General features: G+C 57.1%; 1 protein-coding gene across 6 annotated transcripts in view, besides 6 other annotated features; it reads right to left on the minus strand.

The window, feature by feature from the left end:
- The window catches only part of CACNA2D2 (calcium voltage-gated channel auxiliary subunit alpha2delta 2), a 141,632-nt gene extending 120,475 nt beyond the window's left edge, over window positions 1–21,157 (minus strand). For 5 of the 6 annotated variants that reach the window (NM_006030.4, NM_001005505.3, NM_001410768.1 and 2 more), the window contains exon 1: window positions 20,131–20,547. In NM_006030.4, coding sequence (NP_006021.2) covers window positions 20,131–20,336 — 206 coding nt within the window. In that variant the 5' untranslated portion in view covers window positions 20,337–20,547. Of the gene's footprint in view, window positions 1–20,130; window positions 20,548–20,981 lie in introns of those variants that run through there. The other variant, NM_001291101.1, reaches the window with a different exon arrangement.
- Window positions 1,813–2,374: an enhancer, noted in NCBI's record as "H3K4me1 hESC enhancer chr3:50522331-50522892 (GRCh37/hg19 assembly coordinates)". NCBI's record gives its function as "activates a minimal SCP1, AML or CMV promoter by ChIP-STARR-seq in primed H9 embryonic stem cells {active_cell/tissue: H9 hESC(primed)}" and the evidence as "EXISTENCE:reporter gene assay evidence [ECO:0000049][PMID:30033119]".
- Window positions 5,067–5,567: an enhancer, noted in NCBI's record as "H3K4me1 hESC enhancer chr3:50525585-50526085 (GRCh37/hg19 assembly coordinates)". NCBI's record gives its function as "activates a minimal SCP1, AML or CMV promoter by ChIP-STARR-seq in naive H9 embryonic stem cells {active_cell/tissue: H9 hESC(naive)}" and the evidence as "EXISTENCE:reporter gene assay evidence [ECO:0000049][PMID:30033119]".
- Window positions 10,163–10,818: an enhancer, noted in NCBI's record as "H3K4me1 hESC enhancer chr3:50530681-50531336 (GRCh37/hg19 assembly coordinates)". NCBI's record gives its function as "activates a minimal SCP1, AML or CMV promoter by ChIP-STARR-seq in naive and primed H9 embryonic stem cells {active_cell/tissue: H9 hESC(naive and primed)}" and the evidence as "EXISTENCE:reporter gene assay evidence [ECO:0000049][PMID:30033119]".
- Window positions 12,693–13,640: an enhancer, noted in NCBI's record as "NANOG-H3K27ac-H3K4me1 hESC enhancer chr3:50533211-50534158 (GRCh37/hg19 assembly coordinates)". NCBI's record gives its function as "activates a minimal SCP1, AML or CMV promoter by ChIP-STARR-seq in naive H9 embryonic stem cells {active_cell/tissue: H9 hESC(naive)}" and the evidence as "EXISTENCE:reporter gene assay evidence [ECO:0000049][PMID:30033119]".
- Window positions 20,658–21,166: an enhancer, noted in NCBI's record as "H3K4me1 hESC enhancer chr3:50541176-50541684 (GRCh37/hg19 assembly coordinates)". NCBI's record gives its function as "activates a minimal SCP1, AML or CMV promoter by ChIP-STARR-seq in primed H9 embryonic stem cells {active_cell/tissue: H9 hESC(primed)}" and the evidence as "EXISTENCE:reporter gene assay evidence [ECO:0000049][PMID:30033119]".
- Window positions 21,167–21,675: an enhancer, noted in NCBI's record as "H3K4me1 hESC enhancer chr3:50541685-50542193 (GRCh37/hg19 assembly coordinates)". NCBI's record gives its function as "activates a minimal SCP1, AML or CMV promoter by ChIP-STARR-seq in primed H9 embryonic stem cells {active_cell/tissue: H9 hESC(primed)}" and the evidence as "EXISTENCE:reporter gene assay evidence [ECO:0000049][PMID:30033119]".

The raw sequence follows: 22,714 nt of genomic DNA on the forward strand, positions 1-22,714 counted from the left end.
TCATGATAGAGTAAGGCTCCCCAGCTAGCCACCTACCACTTCACAAGCTGGCACAACCAAGGCACAGAACTCAAGGGGGGCTGGCCCATCTTCAATCTATTTGTGATTCAGTTGAAGGGACCCTAGAATGAGCAGCATGATGCCTCCAGGAGCACCGTCCCCATCTCACCCACTCATTGCATGCACACAGGAACCAAGGCAGCCCAGTTAGCACAGGGACCTTGGAGACCCTGAGGAGCTGGGGAGGGGCAGGTGTTGCCAAAGCATGAATGGGTCCAAAGCCATCTCTCTCGACCATGTGTGCCTTGGGACCCTGCCCAGATACTTCCTGGTCCTTCATGAGGTTATTAATTACGGGGCTATCCCTTCCCTTTCTTTGCCGAGAAGAGCTTTTCCTTCTAATTGGTGCTCTGCTGGGAGGCAGCAGTCTGTGCCTCCCCCTCAGACTAACAGTGAGCCATCATCCGGCATTAATTAGGGCACCAGGTCCAGCCCAATATTTACTCATAGCAGCCTGCTGGGTTGGGGGGAGTGGAGGGAAGCAGCACAGCCTGGAGCCAGGTAGCAGCAATACCCAGCAATACCCAGGTGGCCCACTCGGCTCTGCTTCTTGGCCTCTGCGGGTCTCAGTTTCCCTCTCTAACCAAGGAGTGGTAGCCTGAGGCCTCCATGGACCATTTAGGGATCCATATCTCAAGGGGTCTGATGGGGGCCCTCCCTGCCTGAGGCCTGAGCCAGTGGTGACAGGCCAGGGATCTCACTGCACTGCCTTAATTCATCTGCATAGCAGCCAGATCACTATCCGCAATCCTCAGAGGGAAACCGAGGCACAGAGCAATTGAGAGATGTGCTCCAGGTCACAGAGGTCACAAACACCCGTCAGGCCGCACATACCTCAACTCAGAACATCAGTCTTCAATGCCCAGCTGCGGGTGTGGCTAAGGGGCCTCTCAAACTGAAAGTGTCCGAAACGAGATCCGAGATCCTGACGGTCCCTTGGGATCGTCTCCACCTCTTCTCCCCACTCCCTGCCTCTGCTGATGGCAGCTCCCTCAGTTCAGGTCAAAGACTCTGGGTGACCTAGAACCCGCTTTCTCTCACACCCACATCCAATCTATCAGCAAGTGCTACAGGTTCCACCTTTGCAATAGGCCTGAATCCACCCACTGCCGACTGCCTCCTTGGCCGGGCACCCATCAGGGTTCCTGCACCTCTGCAGCTGCCAGCTCACTCACCGGCTTCCACCTTCTGCCTGGCACCTGCCTTCCCAGTCTGTTCCCCTCTACACACGGCTGGAGTGCCCTGCTGTCATGTCCCTCCTCTGTCAACTCCGTCGCACTAAGAGAAAACCCAAGTCCACCCAGTGGCCGCACCCCCAGTAGCTTCCCTGACCTCACCCCTCGGTGTGGCCTGAACATGCCCCTATAGTCCCTGCACAGGCTTCGGCACATGCTGTTCCCTCTGCCTGAAACTGTCTCTCCTCAGAAGTCCAAGGGCCTCCCACCTCCCTCCGGTCTCCACACACACGTCACCTGCTCCGTGAAGACCTCCTTGCCCCTCCATTTGAAATTGCACCCCCCCCAGCAGCAACTGATCTCCACGTCCCCTCCTGGGGTGATTCTTTTGGCTAGTATTCCATCAGACATCCTCCCTCTTGCTTGTTAGCCTCTGCCTTGGGCTGTGAGCCCTGAGCCAGGAGGCTCCTGCTCTCCCGCCTGGAAGAACAGGCCATTTGCTGAGTGAATATACCTCCCCAGAGTCCTGCTGACGTCCCAGCCCTCCTGTCCAGCTTGTGTGTGGCCGGCCATGGGGTAGGCAGGTGGGGTGGGCAGGGGGAGCTTGCGGAGAGGTTGGCAGCATGGTGGCTGCCCCAGGGCTGGCCCAGGAGGCCCTCCCTTCCCCTGGCTTCTTTCCATATGAATTATTAAGGCTCGTTTATGATGGGCCCGCCCAGGCCTGTGGCTTCCGTGCATAATTCATGGCTCTCCCAGAAGGCCCTGGCGCTAGAGCAGCCACTTCTTCCAGGAAGCAGGAAGAAAGTGCTGAGGAAGAGTGACCCAGAACTGGGCTGTCCTCCACTCTATCTCTGCCACCCTGTCCCTAAACACCAGCCACCCAGCACCTGCACCCACCCCTACCCTCACCCCCATGGAGCTCTCTCCTGCACACTTGGGTTCTGGTTCCCGGAGCCAGACTCCATGGGCTCTGCGCAGGCTCACTGACTCCCCTGTCTGTGGCTTGATTTCCCATCTGTGGACTGACAAAACTGAGCCACCCTAGTGGTTTTCAAACTGCTCCAGCAGCAAGATCATTCACCTTTTATTTTTCCAACAAAATCCAATGTGGAACCCTAATATGTAACTGGTGAGGTAGTTATAAATGTATTTTAGAAGGTAGCGCTGTAAAACATGACTCCGTATTGAGTAAATAATCATTATAAACGTTGAGGCTGTTCTGAAGCATCTGGATTCGGGGCCCATGGGGGCCTCAGCAGCTCCCACCACCCAGCACTCAGTTTATTCCTGTGTTTTGCACTCTGCTGAGAAACTCCTAGGATACGGAGACAGGCAGGCACACATGGTAACAGTCACTTACAGCTCACTATGCAGGGGTCGGGGGAGAACCCTTTCCTGAGGCCAGGGGTAAAACCAGCAACTGCCCTGGTAACTGAGGCTCAGGGGTCGCCAAGGTGCCAGCACCAGTTTTCACTGTTTGATAATTTCTCAGAAGTCTAGAGCTGGGATATAGCAATCAGCGAGAGGCACTAACAAACAAGCCCGGGCCTCCCAGGGGCAAGGCAAAGGGTCCAGACCAGGGGCACGGGGACAGGAATCCAGGAGGTGGATCCAGGGTTCTCCAGGAAGCCTGGAACCACCCACCCCGGCCACTGACACAGACTATGGGCATTTTGGGGTCTGCGACACCTCCTCTCCCCAGCACATTCCCCAGGTAGTCAGGCACGATGGGAACAGAAGTCCTGCCCGGGCCCATTTCACAAACGGGTAAGCTGAGGCTCAGCATGATCAGCCCTCAGGAGGTGAACACTGCTGCAGTCCCTGTGTGCCCAGCCAGTGCTGAAATGGGGGAGCCACGCCCAGGCCTCACCTCAGAGAGCACAGTAGGGTTGGGACACCTGTGGAGGTCACCAAATGGGTCAGGGAGGAACCCAGGAGCTACAGCCTTCTGTTCCTGCCCCACACCAGGAGCTGAAGCTGGACTAGAGGTGGCAGGACAGACCCTGTCCATGTGTCACCAACCATTCTGGTCAGATTCTGTGATTCACACATCCCCATCTCCCCTCCTGCACATCCTCCCCACCCCCCAGCATGAGTCAAATCCTCGCTAAGCCACAAATAGCTGTCCTCTGTATGAGTCCTCAACATGGCCTCCTGCCTTGAAGAAGACAGAGACCCCCTCAAGGTCCCCCTCAGAGCAAAATCCTCTGTGGAAGCTCACAGGCCCCCCGAGGACATCCATGTACAGAGGAGAGGCCAAGCGAAGACAGAACTCAACCCATCAGGGCCAGCTTTGTTCTCTGGGCTTGTCCTTCCTCTACCTGGCCAAGTCACCTCTGCCAGGAAGCTTTCCTAGGTTTCCCCTACCCTCTTCTCAAAGCCACAGTTCTCACCACACTTTACCAAGCCTCATCTTAGGCTGGGGCTGCAGCCTAGTCCCATCATCAAGCTTCCTACAGAGCTTAGCCTGGAGCCTGGCCAAAAAGAGTTCTGGAAACACTTGGAGATAAATTTACCAGAACATCTTCCGCCTACCAGACTGGCCTGCCCTGACCACCTCACTCTGCAGTAGAAGACAGGCTGGAGGACAGGGCTGGGAAAGGGGCCCCCATTTCAGCAGGCAGCCAAGCACCAGGGAAAGGCAATGCTGACGCGGAGGGCCTGCGTGCTGGGCACTCCATGTGATTTCCACTGCAGCGATGGTACCTCGGCCAGGCGCAGGCCAGTTCATGCCCACTTCACGGATGAGCACTCTGAGGCCTGTGGAAATGGTGCAACTTGCCCGAGACCACACTGCTGAACCACAATCTGAACCCAGTCAACTCAGCCATGGCCCTGTCCCCTAGGCTGTCAGGCCTCCTTAACCTCAAGGGGGACTCCAATGGCCAAATAGGAAGTAGGTTGCAGGTAAGAGCCGCCCCTCGTATACAGCCTTTTCCAACTTTGAGAAGGGGGCTACCTCAGGAACTCACTGCCTCCACAAGCAAGCCAAAGCTGAGTGCAATGGGGAAGTCCTTCCTTATACCCTATCAGGGCTATCCTGCAGTAGGAACGTTGGCCAGCAGGGCAGAGCCCCAGCTCCCTCCAATGCCCCCACCAGGGAGCCTGAGCCAGGTATGGGGAGAATGCCCACTTCCTCTGGGATCTGCTTCTTGCTAGTGCCTGGACCCTTAGAGTGCGCCAAGCTGTATGTAAATGGAATGTGAGTGTTCAACCTGCCTTGACACGCCATGAACCTGTTACTCTCGGGTGCTCTGTGGTGACTCCTTTAGCAAAGCAAATCCCCTCTGCAGGCTGTGAGGGATCCACAGCTGCACAAGCAAGGGGCTTCTAGTGCAGCCCCAGCTACCCCACCTTTCTAGCCTCCCCAATCCGAGAGAAGCCACCTTGCCTGGTGAGCCTCATGATTGGCTTAAGGAGAGGCAGGTGGCTGAACCAGCAGGTCAAATTACTGGCAAAATGCTTTGCAGGTGCTTCCAACTTTCTGTAAATTCCCAACTAGCTCGCTCACTCCCCACCTAGTCACTCACTCACTCATTCATTCATTCCGATAGTAACCATGTACCTACTATGGGCACCTGGGAGGGATTTGGCAGCAAGCAGGGCAGATGCAGGCCTGTCCTTGGGAGCTTGGAATCCAAGCAGAGGAAGCTGATACCTGATCCGGATTGGGGCCTGATGAGAAGAAGAGTCCAGCAAGCCTTGGGGACAGGATGCATGGGATGCATGGGATGCATGGGAAGGGGCCTGACCTGGCCTAGGGACTGGCCAGGTGAAGGTGGCACCACAGAGCAGGAGGGCAATCCAAATGGAGGGCACAACATATGCAAGGCCCAGCAGTGGGCTCCACACACAGTGATGCCCCGTGAGCACCCACAGACCGACCGTGGGCACCAAGGCAGGCTGCTCCCACACCGAGGCCTGCAGAATTCCTACCCTCAAGTACATGGGAGCACCTCCACACACTGGATGGAAGGGCAGTGAGACGGCTGTGCCCAGGGAAGCTGGGCCTCTTTAAGTGGGAGCTCAGTCTCTCAGGAGCTGATTTCATTCATTCATTCATTCATTCACTCCACAGAAACAAACCAGTACCCATCACAACTGGGCCCGGGTGCAGAGCCTCTTCCCCCCGGCATCCTGACACTGCCCTGTACTTTGTATCTTGCAATCTTGACCCCAGGGTGAGGGCAGCAGAGAGTACTGAGGCTCAGCACAACAAACATTAGAGGCTGGGGATATTGTTATTACCCACCCCACCCCCCACACCTCTTCCCCCAGCTCCATGGGAGCTCCCGCCTGCTGCAGCCCCTCTACCACCCCCCTAGCAAGAAGTGCCCACAAGTGCAAAGCTTTCGCCATTTTCCTGGTGTTTTTTTTTTGTTTGTTTTTGTTTTTGAGACAGAGTCTCGCTCTGTTGCCCAGGCTGGAGTGCAGTGATGTGATCTCTGCTCACTGCAAGCTCCGCCCCTCGGGTTCATGCCATTCTCCTTCCTCAGCCTCCCGAGTACCTGGGACTACGGGCGCCCACCACCACACCTGGCTAATTTTTTTGTATTTTTAGTAGAGATGGGGTTTCACCCTGTTTGCCAGGATGGTCTCGATCTCCTGACCTTGTGATCCGCCCACCTCAGCCTCCCAAAGTGCTGGGATTATAGGCATGAGCCACCGCGCACGTCCTTCCTGGTGTTTTCTGACACAGATATTGTCACTAGAACATCATCTCCTGAGAACAGCACCTGACAGGCAGAAGGTGCTCAAAAAATGCTGGCTGAATGACTGGATGTTCCATCCTTACAACTATGAAACATAGGAAATGTGATCCCATCATAAAGATGAGGTAACTGGGGCACAAACAAGGTCACATATGGGGTTCCCTTTATAATCCCCAGAACCAGGCTTTCTACCACACAGCAGGCATATGCATCAGGGCCCACAGCTCCAGGGCCTTCTAGATGGCCCCATGAAGTCCCCATCCTTCTTCATTGTAGAGTAATGGCCTCCTCCATATGCCACCAGTCTGGAAATCACCTGTGAAACATACTTCCCCCCGCGCTGGCTCAGGAACCGTGTAAATCACTAGGCTTAATGGCCTTTGGGATTGTTCCCCACAACCCCCTCCCCAGCTGTTCTGTGCCAGGGAAGATGGGGCTATGGGGCGCCAGACAGGCAGGGCCATAGTCATGAGGTCTGGGCAGCCCAAGGCATGGTAAGTGCTAGGAGGCACTGCCCAGGGGAGCAGCAGCCCCGGAAGCGCATCAGAAAGACAGCGGTGGGGCTGCCGGGAGCCTCCAAAACTGGGGCTGGGGCTGGGGCTGGGGCTGGGGCTGGGGCTGGATCTATATGCAAGGCAAGCCTCTCCCCTACTCAACTCCTGCCCCTTACCTCGTCCCCCCATCAATGGCTTATCCATGGAGAAAGATGTGTCCAGGTGATCTCCCCAGGACCTCCACACCCTGACTGGGGAGGCCCAGGGCCATGGGAATGGCAGGGGAGCCTGGGGGCCTGGAGCAGGATGTCTCATGGCCCCTTGGATGCTGCTTGGAGCACCAACCATGCATGGTGTTATTTATTTGGCCTCACTCCCATGTCTTCTTCACTGTTTATCTCCCCCATGGACTGAGTGTCCCAAGAGCAGGGACCCAGTTGGCCCTTGGAGACCCCAGAGCCCACTCAGGGCAACACACAGCTAAGGTGTGGGAGTGGATTCAGGTGGGGAAGGGATGGTCAGGAAGCAGGTCCTGAAAGATGGGCAGGCTGTGGAGTGGGCGGCAGGGCAGATGGGGCATGGGCAAATGTCTATGCAGAGGAGCGGTTTGGAAGGAGCGGGGCAGACGGCTGGGAAGCCAGGTGATCTCCCTGGGACAAGCTGCAGATTTTGGCAACTGGCTGCATGCACAGGCATTTGGGTTCAGCTGGCTCCCATAGATACCATGGTTAGGACATTGCTCAGAACCAATATACACCATCCCCCAACCCTGGGAGCCTCAGTGCCCCCTTGCTGGGCAGAGGGTGAGGATCCTGTGTTTATCTTCCTATCCCCTAAGGCCACAGTTCTGTACCTTGGCTCAACTTAGGGGGAAGAGGGGGCTCTAGAAAACATGCTAATGCCTGGACCCTGCCTCCCACCCCATTAAATAATACAGGTCAGTGGGTCTCTGGACACCCCCTTTACTTCCCTCCCCAGAGCAGCCCTTGGTGGCAGCCCCTGGGCTGGGAAAACTCCTTGCAAAAGCCACAGGAAGATATGTGGGAGTGGCCTATGCCCTCTGGCTCCAGCAAAGCCAGGCTCTGTCCCAGGCTGCTGTGTAAGAGGCTGCTCCATTTTCCACAGTCATGACGAGCTTGGCTCTGTGGACACCTGCACAGACCATGGGCTCCCTGTTCAGCACATATGGATTGAGTACTTGGTGTATGCTAGCTGGGAGCTCCAGCCAAGGGCAACCAGCCACTGCCCCCACCCCTCCCAGCCACATAGTCCCTGAGCAGCCAGGCAGCAAGGTCTATTTCAGGACAAGAATAGGGAGGACAGGGGCTTGAAGCAGGCTAGGAGGCCTCTGACCCAGACAAGGAGGTCAGCGAAGGTTTCAGGGGACAGTGACTCCAAGCCAAGCACCGAAGGACAGGCAGAGGTCAGTGGGACAACAGGTGGGTCCTGCCTGGGGTTGGCAGGGCCCTCGGCAGCCCATCCAACCTCTCCCCAGCTTCCTCCATGCTGAGTGCTTGCAGGTGCTTGTTAAGCCCCCATGGAATGAGATGGCTTCTGTTCTGTTGGGCACTCAGTTCTGAGGGCAGAGATCCCACTCTGTGCCCCTCCCCGTGCCCATCAGAAGCAGCCTCCTTGCTGAGGTCTCCACAAGCACCGGTTACAGGAAAGGACAGAACAGAGATGACAGTTATGCAGATGAGGTGGCAGGGGGAGCACCACTGTCAGCTGCAGAAGGATCCCTTTCTATGGAGGGTGCTGAGAACAGTGAGGACACTGAGGCTCGGAGGAGGACGGCAGGAGGCTTGCCCAGACTATCACAGTGAGGCTAAGGCGGGTTAGGAGGAGACTGGAAGAGGAAGGGCCAAGGGGAGGCCCACAGACCCTACTGTACAAGCCCCTAGGGCTTCTGTGGCCTGCGCCAGCCAAGGTGTGGCTTAAACAATTAAACATGCTGCCTCCCTCCCCTCAAGTTGCTCTGCCCACGTACTGCTAGGCACAGCCCAGGGGGTGAGGTGGGCATGGAGTGGGGCGGAAAAAGGAGAGTGAAGGATGGAGAGGTGGGAGAATTGAGAGTGAGTTCAGACTGCCCTGCCTGACTACTCTGTGAGAACAGGCGACAGCACCACCAGTTCCAGCATGTGACTGGGAGAAAGCCCCAGAAAGAGACCCGGATCAGGGGAGGACTATCAGTCGGGGGACTCACAGCCGTGGCCTGTAGAGGCCAGCTTCTTCCTTTCCCTGACCCTTGGACAGCCCCAGAGATCCCTCTTTCCTCATGTGACAGGTGGGGAACACTGGCCAGAGGGGTACCCAATCCAGAAGCAGGACAAAGCCCAGGGCTTACCCCAAGACCTCTGCCCTTGGCTGACTGGCTCCTGGACACTGTCCAGCCCAGACCCAGGATTGGTGCAGGGAACAGAGCCAGAGAGTAATGGGAAGGGCTAGGTTCCTGGCCACAGTGGAGCATGGATCTCATCATATTCACCATTGGGTGCTGACCAATGACACCCAGTCCTCTGCAGTGAGTAGGCAAAAGTATACCCCCACTATAGGCAAGTACACCCCACCCTGAAGTCACCCTCCCCGCAAGATGAGAATGAAGTCTCACAGGCAGCACCCAGCCAAGTCTGGGCCTTCCCCACGGCCATGTCTATGCGTTACGTCCGTGGCTGTGGCCCTCTAAGGCCAGGTCAGCTGCGCTGTTTCACAGCAGCAGGACATGCCCCTCTGGCCATCCTCTTAGCCCACTCATGCCAGCACTATCTTCAGACGTCATCTGAACCCGCAACTTGCTGTTGTCCTAAATAGTCTGCCTAGGCCCTGCCTGAGACAGGACGTGGCCTGAATGGCCTCCTTCAGGCCTCTGACTGACCAAACCTCACTGGCACAGCACGGCAACTTGAGGGCAGTGGCTGCTCCCCCAAACCCCAGGTTTGGGTCTAGTCTATGCCTCAAGTGCTGAGAGGCCGAAGGAAGTGTCCCTCTCCAGGCCTCGGTTTCCCCATCTGTACCACACGGGAGTTAAACGGGACCAACTGGTCCCACAGTTCTCACTGACCCACATCCATGACACAAGTAAGGGTGGGGCTGTTCTACTGGGAGGGGGATTGGGAGCCAAAAATCTCCTACTTCTGGTCCTTGGGTGGTTCCAAGGAACCTGGAGGCGCCACAGGCCGAGTGAGAAATAAACCCTCCAAGGACGTCAGCCTGGTCAGTAGGGCAGCCTCTGCAGAGGGAGATGCATGGCAGAACATCATGGGAGTGTAGGGACACCCTGAAGGTCCTGTGGCTAGGGGTTGCCTGGAGGAGGTGAGATGCAGGAGGGATGTGTGGGACAGGGCTGAGTGCTTGGACCCGAGCACTAGGGGGAATCCTGCCCCTGCCACTTGCCATCTGTGTGATTTTATCATTTAGCCTGGCTAAGCCTCAATTTTTCTCATCTATGAAAGTAGGATAAAAATGGACTGACCTAACATGTGTGAAATATACCACCGGGGGCCCAGCTTGTAGTGACTGATGTGGTTAAAACAACTACTTCCTTTACAAACACTTCCTTGGCATGGTCACCCATCCCCTTATCTCCTGCTTCTTCCTTGGCCCCAACTCCCACCCTCAAGCCTCTCCTCTGACCCTGCAGCCGACACTGCTTCCCCATCCTCCATCACTCCCTGCCTTCTGCAGAATCTCCACCTCCAGCCCAAGGTGACCCCATCCTCGGCTCAAGGGTAAATCCTGATTAGCCGGAACCAATCACAGTGTACTGTTTAGATTGCCAGTGATTGGTTCAGAGTGGGCATGTGACTCAGTGCCAGCCAATGAGATGTGAGAGGAAGTCGGCTGGGGGCTTCTGGGCAAGGTTTCCTCCCCTCTTAAGAGAAACCCAGAGGAGACATCTCTTCCATGCCTAGTACCTGGGTCTGCAGATGATGCCTGGAGCTGTGGCAGCCATCTTGTTGCCATGCAGTAAGTTGGCCAAGGACAGACAGTTACACCAAAAGCGAGGCCACCAGGCTGAGCACAGGTGACCACTTGGTCTTTGCCAGCAGCCGCATCACACACCTGTTGGCTCCCTGTCAGGGGATAAAGGGCCCACCATGAGGAAAACCCACCACACATGATAAGCACAGAAGCAGCCTCTTGTTGGCAGCCAAATGCGCTCCTCAGACTCAGATCTTGAGGGGGTCGCAGTCAGCTCAATGCCTACTCCTCAAGGGCCCCATGACCCGGCACAGAGCTGGAGGCGGGGCACGGGTCTGGAGGAGGGACTCACAAAGGGCAGGGAGCCGGAGGAGGGTGTTGGTCAGGAAGGCTCCTGCCCCAGGGCCCTGGGCGAAGCCAGCAGCCTGGAGAGGGACACGGTGAGCAGTGAGCGAAAGCCAGAGGTGCGGAGGCCAGAGCTCTTCCCAGGACCTTCAAGTGTCCCAGATAGTCCCAGGGCCGGAGGCTGGAGTCAGCCCAGGCAAGGCCTCAGGGGCTAGCCAGGGAAGTGGGGCTCTGCCCATGGCAGGTTTCTGGGGTGCAAGGTCCCAGCTAGCCCAAAAGGGAGACACTCCAGCAAGCCTGGCGGGGGGTCCAAGGAGAGATACAAAGACTCCCAGGGCCCTAACACACCCACCACGGACTCAGCTCACAGAGAGAAAGGAGAAATGCCCATTTGCAAGGGCCCTTAGCACAGAGGCCTGCTCTGCCAGCTCCTTCTCTTTTCTCATAACTGAAGTGGGGGCAGGGCGGGGGTGGGTTGTTTAGTTGTTTGTTTGCTGGAACTGGTGGCAGCACCAGACCTGACCTTTAAGGCTTCAAATGCAGCGTTTTAGGCGGGGCCAGCAGGAGGAGAACACGGGCTGTGGAAGGAAGTGATCAAGACTGAAATGCCACGTCAGGCTGGAAACTCGAGGCAGAGCATGGGCCTCTACCATCTCAGGAATACGCCAGCCCCTCCAAGCCCACACTGCCTGGTGACAAAGTTGTCCTTCCCAAGGGGACCCAGAAAGCTTTTATGTCTCTGAAACAGCACAGGGACATCAGAGTTTGCCCCACAGAAACCCAAGGAGTTGGGGCCTCACACCACATAGACATCTTGCCCTTCGAGTTTGCCAAAGCAGACCTCAACTTGCCCCCCGACCCATGCCATAGATTTTATTTATTTATTATTTATTTATTTATAAATGACAGGCTCTCACTCTGTGTCCAGGCTGGAGTCCAATGGCACCATCACAGCTCCCTATAGCCTCAACTTCCTGGGCTCAAGCCATCCTCCCACCTCAACCTCCTGAGTAGCTGAGACCACAGGTGTACACTACTACACCTGGCTAATTTTTGTATTTTTTTGTAGAGATGGGGTTTTGCCATGTTGCCCAGGCTGATCTTCAACTCCTGGGCTCAAGTGATCCTCCCACCTCGGCCTCCTAAAGTGCTGGGAGTACAGGCGTCAGCCACTGCACCCGGCTGGATATTTTTATTTAAGAGAAACAGCTGTACATCAGTGCGAGGAAGGCTGCATAGGGAGTCGCCCTCCCCGCAGTCTGTACTGAGCATTAGGGATGAGGGCTGGGCCCTGCCCACAGAGTATGTGCAGCCACAGATATGTGGGGCTTGAAGGTTCCCTTCCCCCATCTTGGGCCTCAGTTTCCGTGTCTATATGATGGTGGTATCAGGACCTCAGGGATTTCTGTGGCTGTGGCATGTCCTTTCCAAGTCAGGGACGCATGCAAAGCCCATAATGCCCAAGGAGACGGTTGCACCCAGGCTCCCTGCCCCCACAGGAACCCCTCCTGGCCTGTAGGCTCCTGAGCCCCTCACAGCCACTTCCCAAAATCCCAAGGGCCCTGGGCCATCGCAGCACTGACAACACACAGGCGCGTCCTGAAAATGCCAGGAAAGCAAAACTCTCAGACAACAGAACCCACGAGAACTGGGTCCACACAGCTACTGGGGCCAGGGCCCATCACAGGGCATCACTGGACAGCCTTATTTATGAAGACTCAGTAGACAAAAATCCATCCTTGAAGGAAGTGTCTTCGCTGGAGATGCTCCAGATGGAGAACATGTGGAGGAATCATCCCTCCAGATCATCAAGGGATCATCAAGCCAAAGTTTTTACAGCCCAAATCGTGCCCACAGTGTCTTGCTGCGGGGAGGACCCAAACCCACAGCAGATACTCAAGGGCTGCCAGTCTCCTGCCCTTCAGTGTGCAAATGAGAAGCACCCACTCTGAAAGGGAAAAGTGCCAGCCCAAGGTCACACAGCAAGAGCTTCCCACTCTGCCTGAGCCCAGGCTCCACGCCCACCCTCCAGATTTTCCACGCGGGGAAGGGCTGTTTGCAAAGATGCTTCACTTCACAAAGGACTCACGGAGCTCCTCTGAGTCCCAAGTCCTCCACTGAATGTAAATACCATTCAATTTGCAAAAATTTGAATTACAAGGACGCAGCCTCTGTTTCCTTTGCAGACTGTCATCACGCCAGTTGGTAGAAGATCAAACTTTCCAGCTCAGCTTTAACTCAGGCTGTTTCTAACATAAAAGTTTGCAAAACACTGGCCCTAACAATCAGGATGCTTTATTTCCCACTGCCAGTGTTTGCCCAGCCGAGCCCTGGCATTAACCTCAAAGGCAGGTGGTGAAGGTGGGCACTAGGAGCCCATTCTGGCTGCAGAGATAAACCACACGTGTGCTTGCACTACATAGGCTCCCAAGCACATGCCCGCATTTGACTTCATATGCACATACACGCACACACCTACTGCTGCCTACACACGAGAATGCCCATGCACACACATCTACACACATGCATCCATGTGTGAGTACAAACACACGCACACAAGTGGGTATACGCACAAGCATGCTTAGATGTGAACACGTCTGACACATGCACACATACATGAACACACAGGTGTAGACACGCCCACATACAAGCTGACATGTGCACACAGGCAAAGGCAAGAGCCAAACACAAGAGGAAAGACTCACAAACCACAAGTGGGTCCCAAGTGCCTGTAGGGCCTGGATGGGTGCTGGGTGCTATGGATGAGGGGATAGTGGCTGGCACTTGGAGTGCAGGCCCAGCTAGACTGCAAATACCCCCTAGATCCAGTCGGGATCCACATGCCCTTATCACAGACTCCCTGGGGCCAGGCCCATCCCTCACAGTCTATCACACCCCAACCCTATGTGGCAGTACAGCCACGGAAGCCCTGTTTTACAGATGAGGCTCCAAGACCCTGAGAGGCTGTGGAAGTTCCCAAGGTCACACAGCTGTTGAGAGGTGTGGCAGAGTCTCAGTGCACACGAAGAGGGGGCTTGTTCAGAAAGAACTAGCCATCAGGGAAGGCAGGCATCAAAGGGGAAGAAAGGGGCCCAGGGTCTAAGAGGGGCAGGGAAAAGACAGGCAGAAGGAGTGACTTCTCAGCCTTTTCACCCACCTCTTCCCCTTTGTTGAATGAGGATCATTTCCAAGGTGGGAAAGATGGATACTGATCAGCAGGAAAGGCTTCCCATGCCCCTCCCCCTCTGCTAAACAATTAGGCTGATCAGAACTCAAAGGGGGTCAATCTGAAAAGCAGCCATGAGACACCCAAGGTATGGCCAAAGGAGGACGGGAGGTCCAGGCACCCTCACACTGGAAGAGACAAGGCCCAGCGGCCACAGCTAAAGCAGGGCGTGGAGAGGAGCAGGAAGACCCCAGATCTGTCTTCTTAGGGCATTGGAATGTCAGAGTTGGAAGGATCCTGGAAGAAAGGAAACTGAGGCCCAGGGGGAGGAGGGGTTTTGTCCAAGGTCACCAAGCAAGCTACCCAACTGAGAAGATTAGGCTGGGCTTGCCCTTGACAGAGGCCTCCTCACCTAAGATGGGGGCTTTCAGAACTCCTTTGTGAATATTCTCCCCACCTAATCCCAGCTAGACAGTCTCCTGGTTTGTGAGGCTCTCCCCTCACCAGGCTCAGTCACGGGTAACAGTGATGGCTGGGGACCCAGCAGGTCCAGACCAGATGCAGAAGGAAAAGCACTGTGAGGGCCCAGGTGAGAGGAGCGGGACCAGGACCGGGGACACCAAGCCAACAGCCTGAGTCTCACAGTGGCAGGGCAGGGCTTGGCTGAGTCTGCCCCTTAGGTCCTGACCTTATGTAGATTTGAATGACAGAATCTTGACTCCTTTAGGGAGGCCCCAAGAGACCCCTGTGGGGACCTGCAAGCCAGCAGGGCCATCTCAATCTCTGTGGTCACCTGCACTGGCCCCCCTTCTGCCCTTAGCCACAGGCAGCTCTGGAAGCTCTTCAGGTTCCACAGGACAAGAGAAGAAGGGAAGCAAAAAAAAGCAAAAACCACACACACACTTCCCTTGGGGAATACGAATATTGATTCTGTAGCTTCTTGTTTAGACAGTAGGCACCAGAAGAAGAAGAAAAGAAAAAAAAACCTGACATGAAGAGAATCTTCCCAGTTGGCTGGAGGGCTGTAGCCAGCAATGGGAAAGCCCCTCATGTCCTCCCCAGCATGTCCTCCCCAGGCCTGAGGCCCACAGCCCAGTCACTTAAAGACACAAGGCACCAGGTCTGGAGGCAAATCTCCGCACGGGAGTGGGGTAGGTGGCTGGAAGGGGGAAGAGAGAGAAAGACCACTCCTATCTTACAGGCAACATCGCCCTGCCAGACAGAGCTCAGCCCACCTGCCTTGACTCCCAAACCTCCAGCTGCCCCTTGGAGAGTTCCCTAGCAACAAGCCCTTGAACGCTGGTTCCCAAACCCCCCAAGTCCCACCCATCCGGATGGCATGAGGCTCCCCCAGCATCTATAAGATCCTAGCCCTGTGAAGTCCCCTCAGACCTGGCAAAACTGCCAAGGGACTAAAGGAGCCAGCCTCAGGTTTCCATGAACAACCCCCAGCCCCACCCCCACCTCCATGACCTTTCTCTCCGGAATCAGACTGGAATCTGGAGAAGGAAATGGCATCTCATCTCCAGATGAAGCCCCTCCTCTCCTCCACCCCTCCACACAGAGCAGGCCTGGCCCATAACTCAAAGCTGGGGGAAGGAAAGCTCTGGGCTGGGGGTGCTCCATGATGGCCTGTGTATACGTGGGAGGTAGATGGAGGTCAGCACTGGGGCTATAAGCACTGGGGCTGGCAAGGCAGCTTCATGCCAAGGAAGGCCCCTCAGGGTTGCCTGAGACCCAGAGGAGGAAAGAGAGACAGACAGGGCAAAGTTACAGCTGGAAGTCCCAGGCCCAGCTCTCATATCCTAGGCCTCTTCATTTTCTTCCCAGAGATTCAGGCTTCAAGCCCCCCTCCACTTCCTGGGCCCACTGCCCAGATGTCCCCAGCCCTCTGGCTGGGCAGCCAAGTGTCTGACAGATCTATCCTTTCCCCTGCCCTGCCTCTCATGGTTGTGGGCTTTAAGCAGGTCCCTTCATTTTTCTGAGGTCAGTCTCCCCATCTGGAGGATGGACATGACCACGGGCTCTGAGGTCAAGGCACTAATGTGGGTGAGGGGTCTGGCCTGGGCTCAGTAAGGGAGATCACCATTAGCCTGGAGACGTCCCCCACCACAGTCAAGCTGTGTTGCAGGGAGTGAGGGAGGGAGGTGGCCCAATGTCTTCCTCAAGGAGGTAGAATCTGATGTGGGTGGGCACAGCCTGAGAGAGTGGCACAGCCCAGAGCTGGGATGGGAAGGCCTCTGGAAGGTTCGGGTGTGAGACCTTGAAGGAGGGGATCTAAACCTGAGAAAAGAGCACAGTCATGGCAGGGCAGCATGAGCAAAGTAGAGAGACAGGCGGCCACCTAGCCCGTGGGAGCCCTGGAGACTGGTGGGTCTCGCAGTAAGACTGGCTACCGCCCGGCTGCAACATCTGGGCTTAATGCTAATGTTAACAGTGGCAGCCATGGCACCTGACGGAGCCCTCCCTGCCCACTAGAGGCGGCATCCTCTCCCGTTAATTCTCACCACCAGCCTCTTAAGCAGATTCTATCATTTCAATTGTGGAAACTAAGGCAAGGTCATCCCAATGGAGCCTGCAAAGTCTACACCTGACACCCAGCATGTCCCCAAACTACATCCTCCCAGGAGCTGGCAGTGTCCACCCATACACATCTGAGATGCCAGGAGCTGGCAGTGCCCACCTGCACACAGGCAGGAGGAGAAGGGGATACTTTCTGCAGAAGTCCACTTAGAGGCCAGCTTTACTCTGGAGTCAGTCTCTCCATGGGGACATGAGTGTGACAAAGAATCTGGAGTGAGATTCACCTGCAGACTACGAGGGGACTCATCCTAAAATGAGTTTCCTCCTTTCTCAGGGGTTAACCTGGCACAGCTGACCAAAAGGAGGTGCCTGATAAAGATGGAGTCCAGGGGAACAGCAGCCAAGGGTCCCCCCAAAGTCCTCCACACCAGGAGGGCTGTGAGCACCTGGCAGCTCTGCATCTCGGTGACAGCAGCAGCGGCTGGGAAGCCTCATCCCTCCCTCCTGCAAAAGCTGAGGCAGGTTTTTGGGAAGATGGGGGACCCAGATGAGTGATGCTGCCTCCCTCCAACAGGGAGAGCCACAGGGAGATGGAGACAGGGGCTGGAAGGCCCAGACAGACACACGTCACCCACCATTAACCGTAGCTACACTGACGCATGCCCTGTTGTAGGCACTGCTCCCCATGTGTCCACTCAGGAGAGGAGCACGTACTCTGGTTGTCATTAATCTGCTGGTGGTCCAAACCCCTCAGGCCCCTCACTGCTTCTGCCCACCCTCAGAGGAAGGGAGACGCTGGCCAACACCATCGCTGGAGCAGAGCTGGGCTAAGAGGGTGCAGTCAGGTGGGCCAGCTCAGCCGGGTGCTCCACCCAGCACTCAGCCAGGACTCCACAGAGGAGGGGACAGAGAAACCTGGGGGCACTGGAGAACAGGGCACAGAGGCCCAGCAGAGAGGACAAAAGAGGCGGGCAGGGAAGGATAGGTACAGCTCGATGAAAGACCTGAAGAAGGGGGACAGGGGAAGAGGGAGGGAAAGACACAAGGGGAGGCAAAGCAGTGAGGGCTGCCCCTCAGCCGGCGGTGGTGGCCTGATGCTGGGGAGGGCATAACTGGAAAAAGGAGGCAGGTGAAAGGTGTGCTCGGACTCAGGTCCCCCACACCCAGCCGGACAAGTGCACATACATGTGCATACATGTGTGCAAACATGTAGCCTCCTCCTTGTTTGAAACTCTGATCCAGGTCCAGGTAAGGTGAGACAGCCCAACCCCCCCACCCCCCGCCCAAAAAAAAACCCTGAAGCCCTGTCCTCCCTTCAGCAGTAACCCCTCTGCCCTTCTCAATCCAGCAGCAGCCTTGGTCCATTTTGCCTGGTGGGCAGAGAGCCATGCTGCCAGAGCGATTGCAGAAATCATAGCTAGCAGACCCCAAACCCACACTTGCTTAAAATCCAGCAGCTTGTGAAGCTGGGCCCCTGTGCACTGGCAGACACTAATGAGAAAATGACTTGCTCATCAGGGGCCTTCCCCACTGAGGGGTTGTCACTCCAGTGCCATGAAGCTGGGTTCCACTCTCCTCCTTGGAAATCCACCTGTATCAAAGTGTCATCCCAGCCTGGCCACACTGACCCAGCAGAAGGTTCTGGGAGGTCACCCATCCCTGAGCAGCCCCACAGAACCTTCTGGCCCGAACAACAGCCTAAACCTTTCTTACCAGTTCAACAAAAGCACCAATTCCACTGGCCATGGTCATGTGTGGGCCCCTTCCTCCCTCCAAGGATCAATGTGCATCCTCGTCTGCGGGACCAGGGCAGCTGAAGGGCACTGGCTGTCACAGCAAACCCTCTGTGTTGTTGTACCATTAGTCACCTCCCCCTGGACCCTCAGAGCGGCACAGCCCCCACCCCACCCCCACCCTCATTCTCTAATTACAGTTTGCAAGACATGTCCCAAACCCCCAAATTAGCTCCAACTATATCGACAACAGCGTCCAGCTGGAAGTGTGTCGCTGCCGTCACACCCGCCTCGCCATCTTCTGGCTGGGGACAGAGGGATAGGTGCCTACTCTGGTCAGGTTCTCACATCGGCCTTCTAGAGGAGACTCGTGCAGGCCCAGAAGCCATCTGACCAACTGCACGTTGCAGGGAAAGGGAGTGAGGTCGGGAGAGGTGGAAAGAGACATCCACTTAAACCTTCACTCAAGGAGCTATGAAACGGCTAAGAAAAAAATAATTGTGGCTTGGCTCGTGCTTGGCTTTGAGGAAGAAAGAACAACAAAAAAATAATGCTTTTGCTTTTTTTAAGCACTATGATTGAAGTCCATTTCCATCACGGCAAATGAAAGACAATAACGCATCCACCAGCCCTGAACTTCCATTCGATTCTTTTCTCCCTGGGCAACCCCCAAACACACATGTGAAAAATCCAGACGGTTGACAGAGGACACGTCCGTGCGGCACTTGTAATTTGCCAACTGATCACCTGCCTGAGCACAGCCAGGCTGTGCAATGAGAGAGACGACAAGACGGAGAGAGAGACCCAGAGAGGCGGTTTTCCTGAGTTTGTTTTTCCCTCATCTTAGAGAGCCTACGAACTGGAGTCGGCAGGTTTTGTGGCAGAACCAGGGGCTCTTACCCTTGGGCAGAGCTGGTTTAAATGACGCAGAGCCAGCCTCTCCCTTTCCCCGAGGCCAGACCCTTCCCCTTGGCCACCAGCAGCCCGACGACTCATGCCCCAGTCTCCAGGCCAGGACACTGGTGAAGGAGTCCAGGGACAGGTGGCTCCTCAGACCCGGAGACAGATAACAGAAGCAAGGTGGTCACCGTGCCCCAAAGGGGGTCTGGGCACTGACATAGGGCTGAAGCACAGTGTCAGGAAACTGATACGTCCTAAAGGCCACATGCACTGAACATCCACTCCCAGCCCCAGACACATCTGGCTAAGCTCACCCGTAGGAGGCAGCCCGAGTTTGCTGGCTCTTGGGGAGGAGGAGAAGGCTCAGAAGGACCAAAAAACCTGCGGAGGCTGGCAGAGCCAGGAGAAGCTATTACTCTGTTGGCAGCAGCAGCAGGCGCAGGCAGGGGTCCTTCCCACCATTCACCTTCTGCCCGGACCCCAACGCCTTCACCTCCCAACTGGGCTCTCCAGGGTACTCTCTCCTCAGGTGGAGGGGGGCCAAGAACAGGGGACACTGCCTCTGTGGCACTGGCCACAGCAAGAAGGTGCTCGCATCATCAGCATACAGCTCCCCACTAAAGGAAAAGGCCCTTGAAGGCAGGTGTGGAGATGTCCCTCACCTCTGGCTGTAAAGCGCCGGATTCCCACCAGGGAGGGAACGTGGGGCAGATGCGCGGCTCCAACTCCGCCGGACAGGGGTCGCTGGCCGCCCCTCTCACCCAACCCGGGTTTCCCTCTCACCGGGTCAGCGGCAGGGGAATCAGCTGACAAGCTCGGACCGCCCCCCCCCAACTCCTCCCGGGGCTTGAAGATCTTGCCTTGCCTCATTCGGGGGATTTGGGGGAAGCAGGGGCACCGCGGGGAAGTTTCGCGACGCAGCCAGAGCGCCGGGACCGCGGCTGCCAGCCTTCGGGGCTTGGGGCCGTCGCCCCCGGGCGCAGCGGGCAGCCGGACCCAGCGCCTCTGCCCTGGCGCGGAGCGCAGGGAAGGAGTAGCGCGGACCGGGGGCAGAGCGGGGCGCAAGGCTCGGCCGGGGTCTCGCGGCCGGCCGAGGCCACTTACGTGTGCTGCTGGGGGAAGCTGTAGGCAGAGGCGCCGGGGGCGGCGAGCAGCGGTAGAAGCGGCAGCAGCAGCCACAGCGGGCGCGGGGGCCCGGACGTCGGGCGCCGGGTGCCGGGGCCAGGGTGGGGGCCGCAGCCGGGCCAGGGGCGCGCAGTCCGCGCTGGGCCGGGCCGAGAGGCGCCGCAGGTCCGAGCCGGCACCGCCATGTTTCCATTCAAGATGCGGCGCCGCGGGGAGGGGGGGCAGTGGCGGCGGCGGCGGCGGCGGCGGGGTTGGGGGGGCGCGGGCGGCGGGCGGTAACTCGGCCTCTCCTCCGCCGCCGCCTTCTCCGCGAGGGGCCTCCGGGGCTGCACGGGCCGCAGCGCCTCTGCGGGCTGCGCGCTGCTATCTCCCTGCAGCGCTGGCTCCAAGCGCTCTGAGCGCCCGGCCCGGGACCTGCGCTCAAATAGCAGCCGCCGCCAACCTGCCGGCACCGCCCTCTTCTCTCCCTCCCTCCCTCTCTCTTCCCGGGCTGGCCCGCCCCCGCGCGCCCCCGCCGCGGCCACGCGCCCACCCGTGCCCGCGCGCCTCTCGTCCCCGCGCAGCCCGAATCCTGCCCTACTGGCTCGGGCGTCCTGCGCCCCAGCTGCTACCCGAGCGCCCCGGGTGCGCCCCCGCCCCCACACCTCAGACCCTGCCGCTCCTCCCCACCCCACCCGCGGGAAGAGTCCCGGGCCCCGCGGCCCAAGGCAGGAGCATATGTGACCCTTTTGGGGGCTCGACCTTCAACAGGCTTAAGGCCTAGAGTCACAGGTTTAATGGTGGAGTGACAGCTTCAGCGGAGACCAGAAAAGGAGGCATGCTGAACTTACAGCCCCCGTGGCTCTAGCTATCTTTAAGATTTCTCTCTGTCGGGGGCTTGCACGCCCGGCTGCTGGCAGAAAGGGCCTGGACCTCCTGGTTCCCTAAGCGGAAACCTGGGCACGGCTGTACGGTTGTGGGGGGCTGGGGACGGCAGGATGCAGCCCTCTGCAGCCACTCGCTTCGCTTCCCTGGGCTGAACAGGCACTGTGTGCAGGCCTGTCCCAAGCCCCAGTTCCCGGAGTTTGCACAGCCTCTGTTTAGATTCTTCCAGAGCCAGGAAGCTCATCTCTGCACAACCCAGTCCTTTCTGTCCTGGAGGCCCCTGGCTCTTCCCTGCTGTGGGCAGAAGACTGGGGCTGGTGTCAACCTTGACTCCACAGCTTGTGGCCCTTTCAGAGCCTCAGTGTCCTCGCTTGTGAATGCTTGTGTGGGTGCCCACTCCCATTTCCAGGATGAAGTGAGAATGGGGAGAATCTCTTGGTAAACTGAAGCATTCACAATGAGGGGAGACCATCCCTAGGATTCTACTGAAGTTACCCTGGAACCCAGCTCTGCCTCTGGTGCAGATAGGATGAGAGAATGCTCCCCACCAACTTGACACAGGGCAGGACCCCCTCAGCAATAACTGCCCACAGACCTGGCCTATCACGAGGAATGAGGGATAGTAACCAGCTGGGCAGGATGGTTCGGAAATGTCCAGATGCCCCACCTCATGGTATCAGTGGCTCTCCTATCACCCACTCACAAGTCAGCCCAAGGAGGGCTTGCAGTTGAAAGGGAATAGTAGCCCCTGGACTGAAAAGGGTAGGGGTAGGGGCTGGAAATAGGGCCTAGGACAGCCTTCCCTTGCTGCCTAGTCCTGCCTTGGCTTCTCCAATCCCAGCAAACCAGGGCTTGACAGGGAACAGTTTCCTTCATTTCTTGAAGTGTCCTCCTCCCTTGACCTGAATGAGCCTTCAGGGGCCAGACAGGTTTGCCAGCAGATCCCAAACCATGAGACCCCAAAAAAAGTATCAGAGGAAGGCAACGCAGGGGCCAGGGGCCTGGTGGACAGGTGGGACCTGATGGACTATGGGAGACGATAGTCCAGCTCTTTGGGGGGACAAGCAGGGTCCTCACTGAGCCAGTTGCCCCCCTGCCACCTCTGGACACAATGGGAGGGCAGGGGGGCAGGGGTCCTGCTCAGGAGTCGACAAGCGTGAGCTCAACAGCTGCCTTCCCAGCCCTGCCTGCTGAGACCTGTTCCCAGCATCTCTGTCTTCCTCATGCCCAAGGTAGGGCTGGCCTGTGATATCCTCTCTTACCTGTTTGCTGGACATATAATACCTGTGCCCATGGCCCCAGGGGACCATCATAAAGGACATCATTCCTCTTGGGTGCCCTGTCGGGGGTGGGCGCCTTCCCAAGGCAGACTCTGCAGTGGCCTGAGAAATGTGAGGGCCAGCCTCCCTGCCCTCCAACACCAGGGTAGCAACGCTATCCCCAAAGTGCCCAGGCCGTCAGGCACATGAAGTCAGTCTAGGTACAGTGGGTGGGTTTTGGCAGTTGGGTATTTCAGTTCTAGCCTCCACAGATGTGCATCTAATTGAGGCTGCTGGCACCAAGGGAAAGGCGGGAGATTTTGGTTGACAGGCCGTTAAAGGAAGACAAATAAGGAGGGGGGGGGTAATTAAGAGTAAACAAGTGGTAAGTGTTTACGAATTATAACTTTTGAGGCTTACAACATCCTCAGCCCTCTTGG

This window comes from Homo sapiens, chromosome 3, assembly GCF_000001405.40.
Source record: "Homo sapiens chromosome 3, GRCh38.p14 Primary Assembly".
NCBI classification, from domain to species: Eukaryota; Metazoa; Chordata; class Mammalia; order Primates; family Hominidae; genus Homo; species Homo sapiens.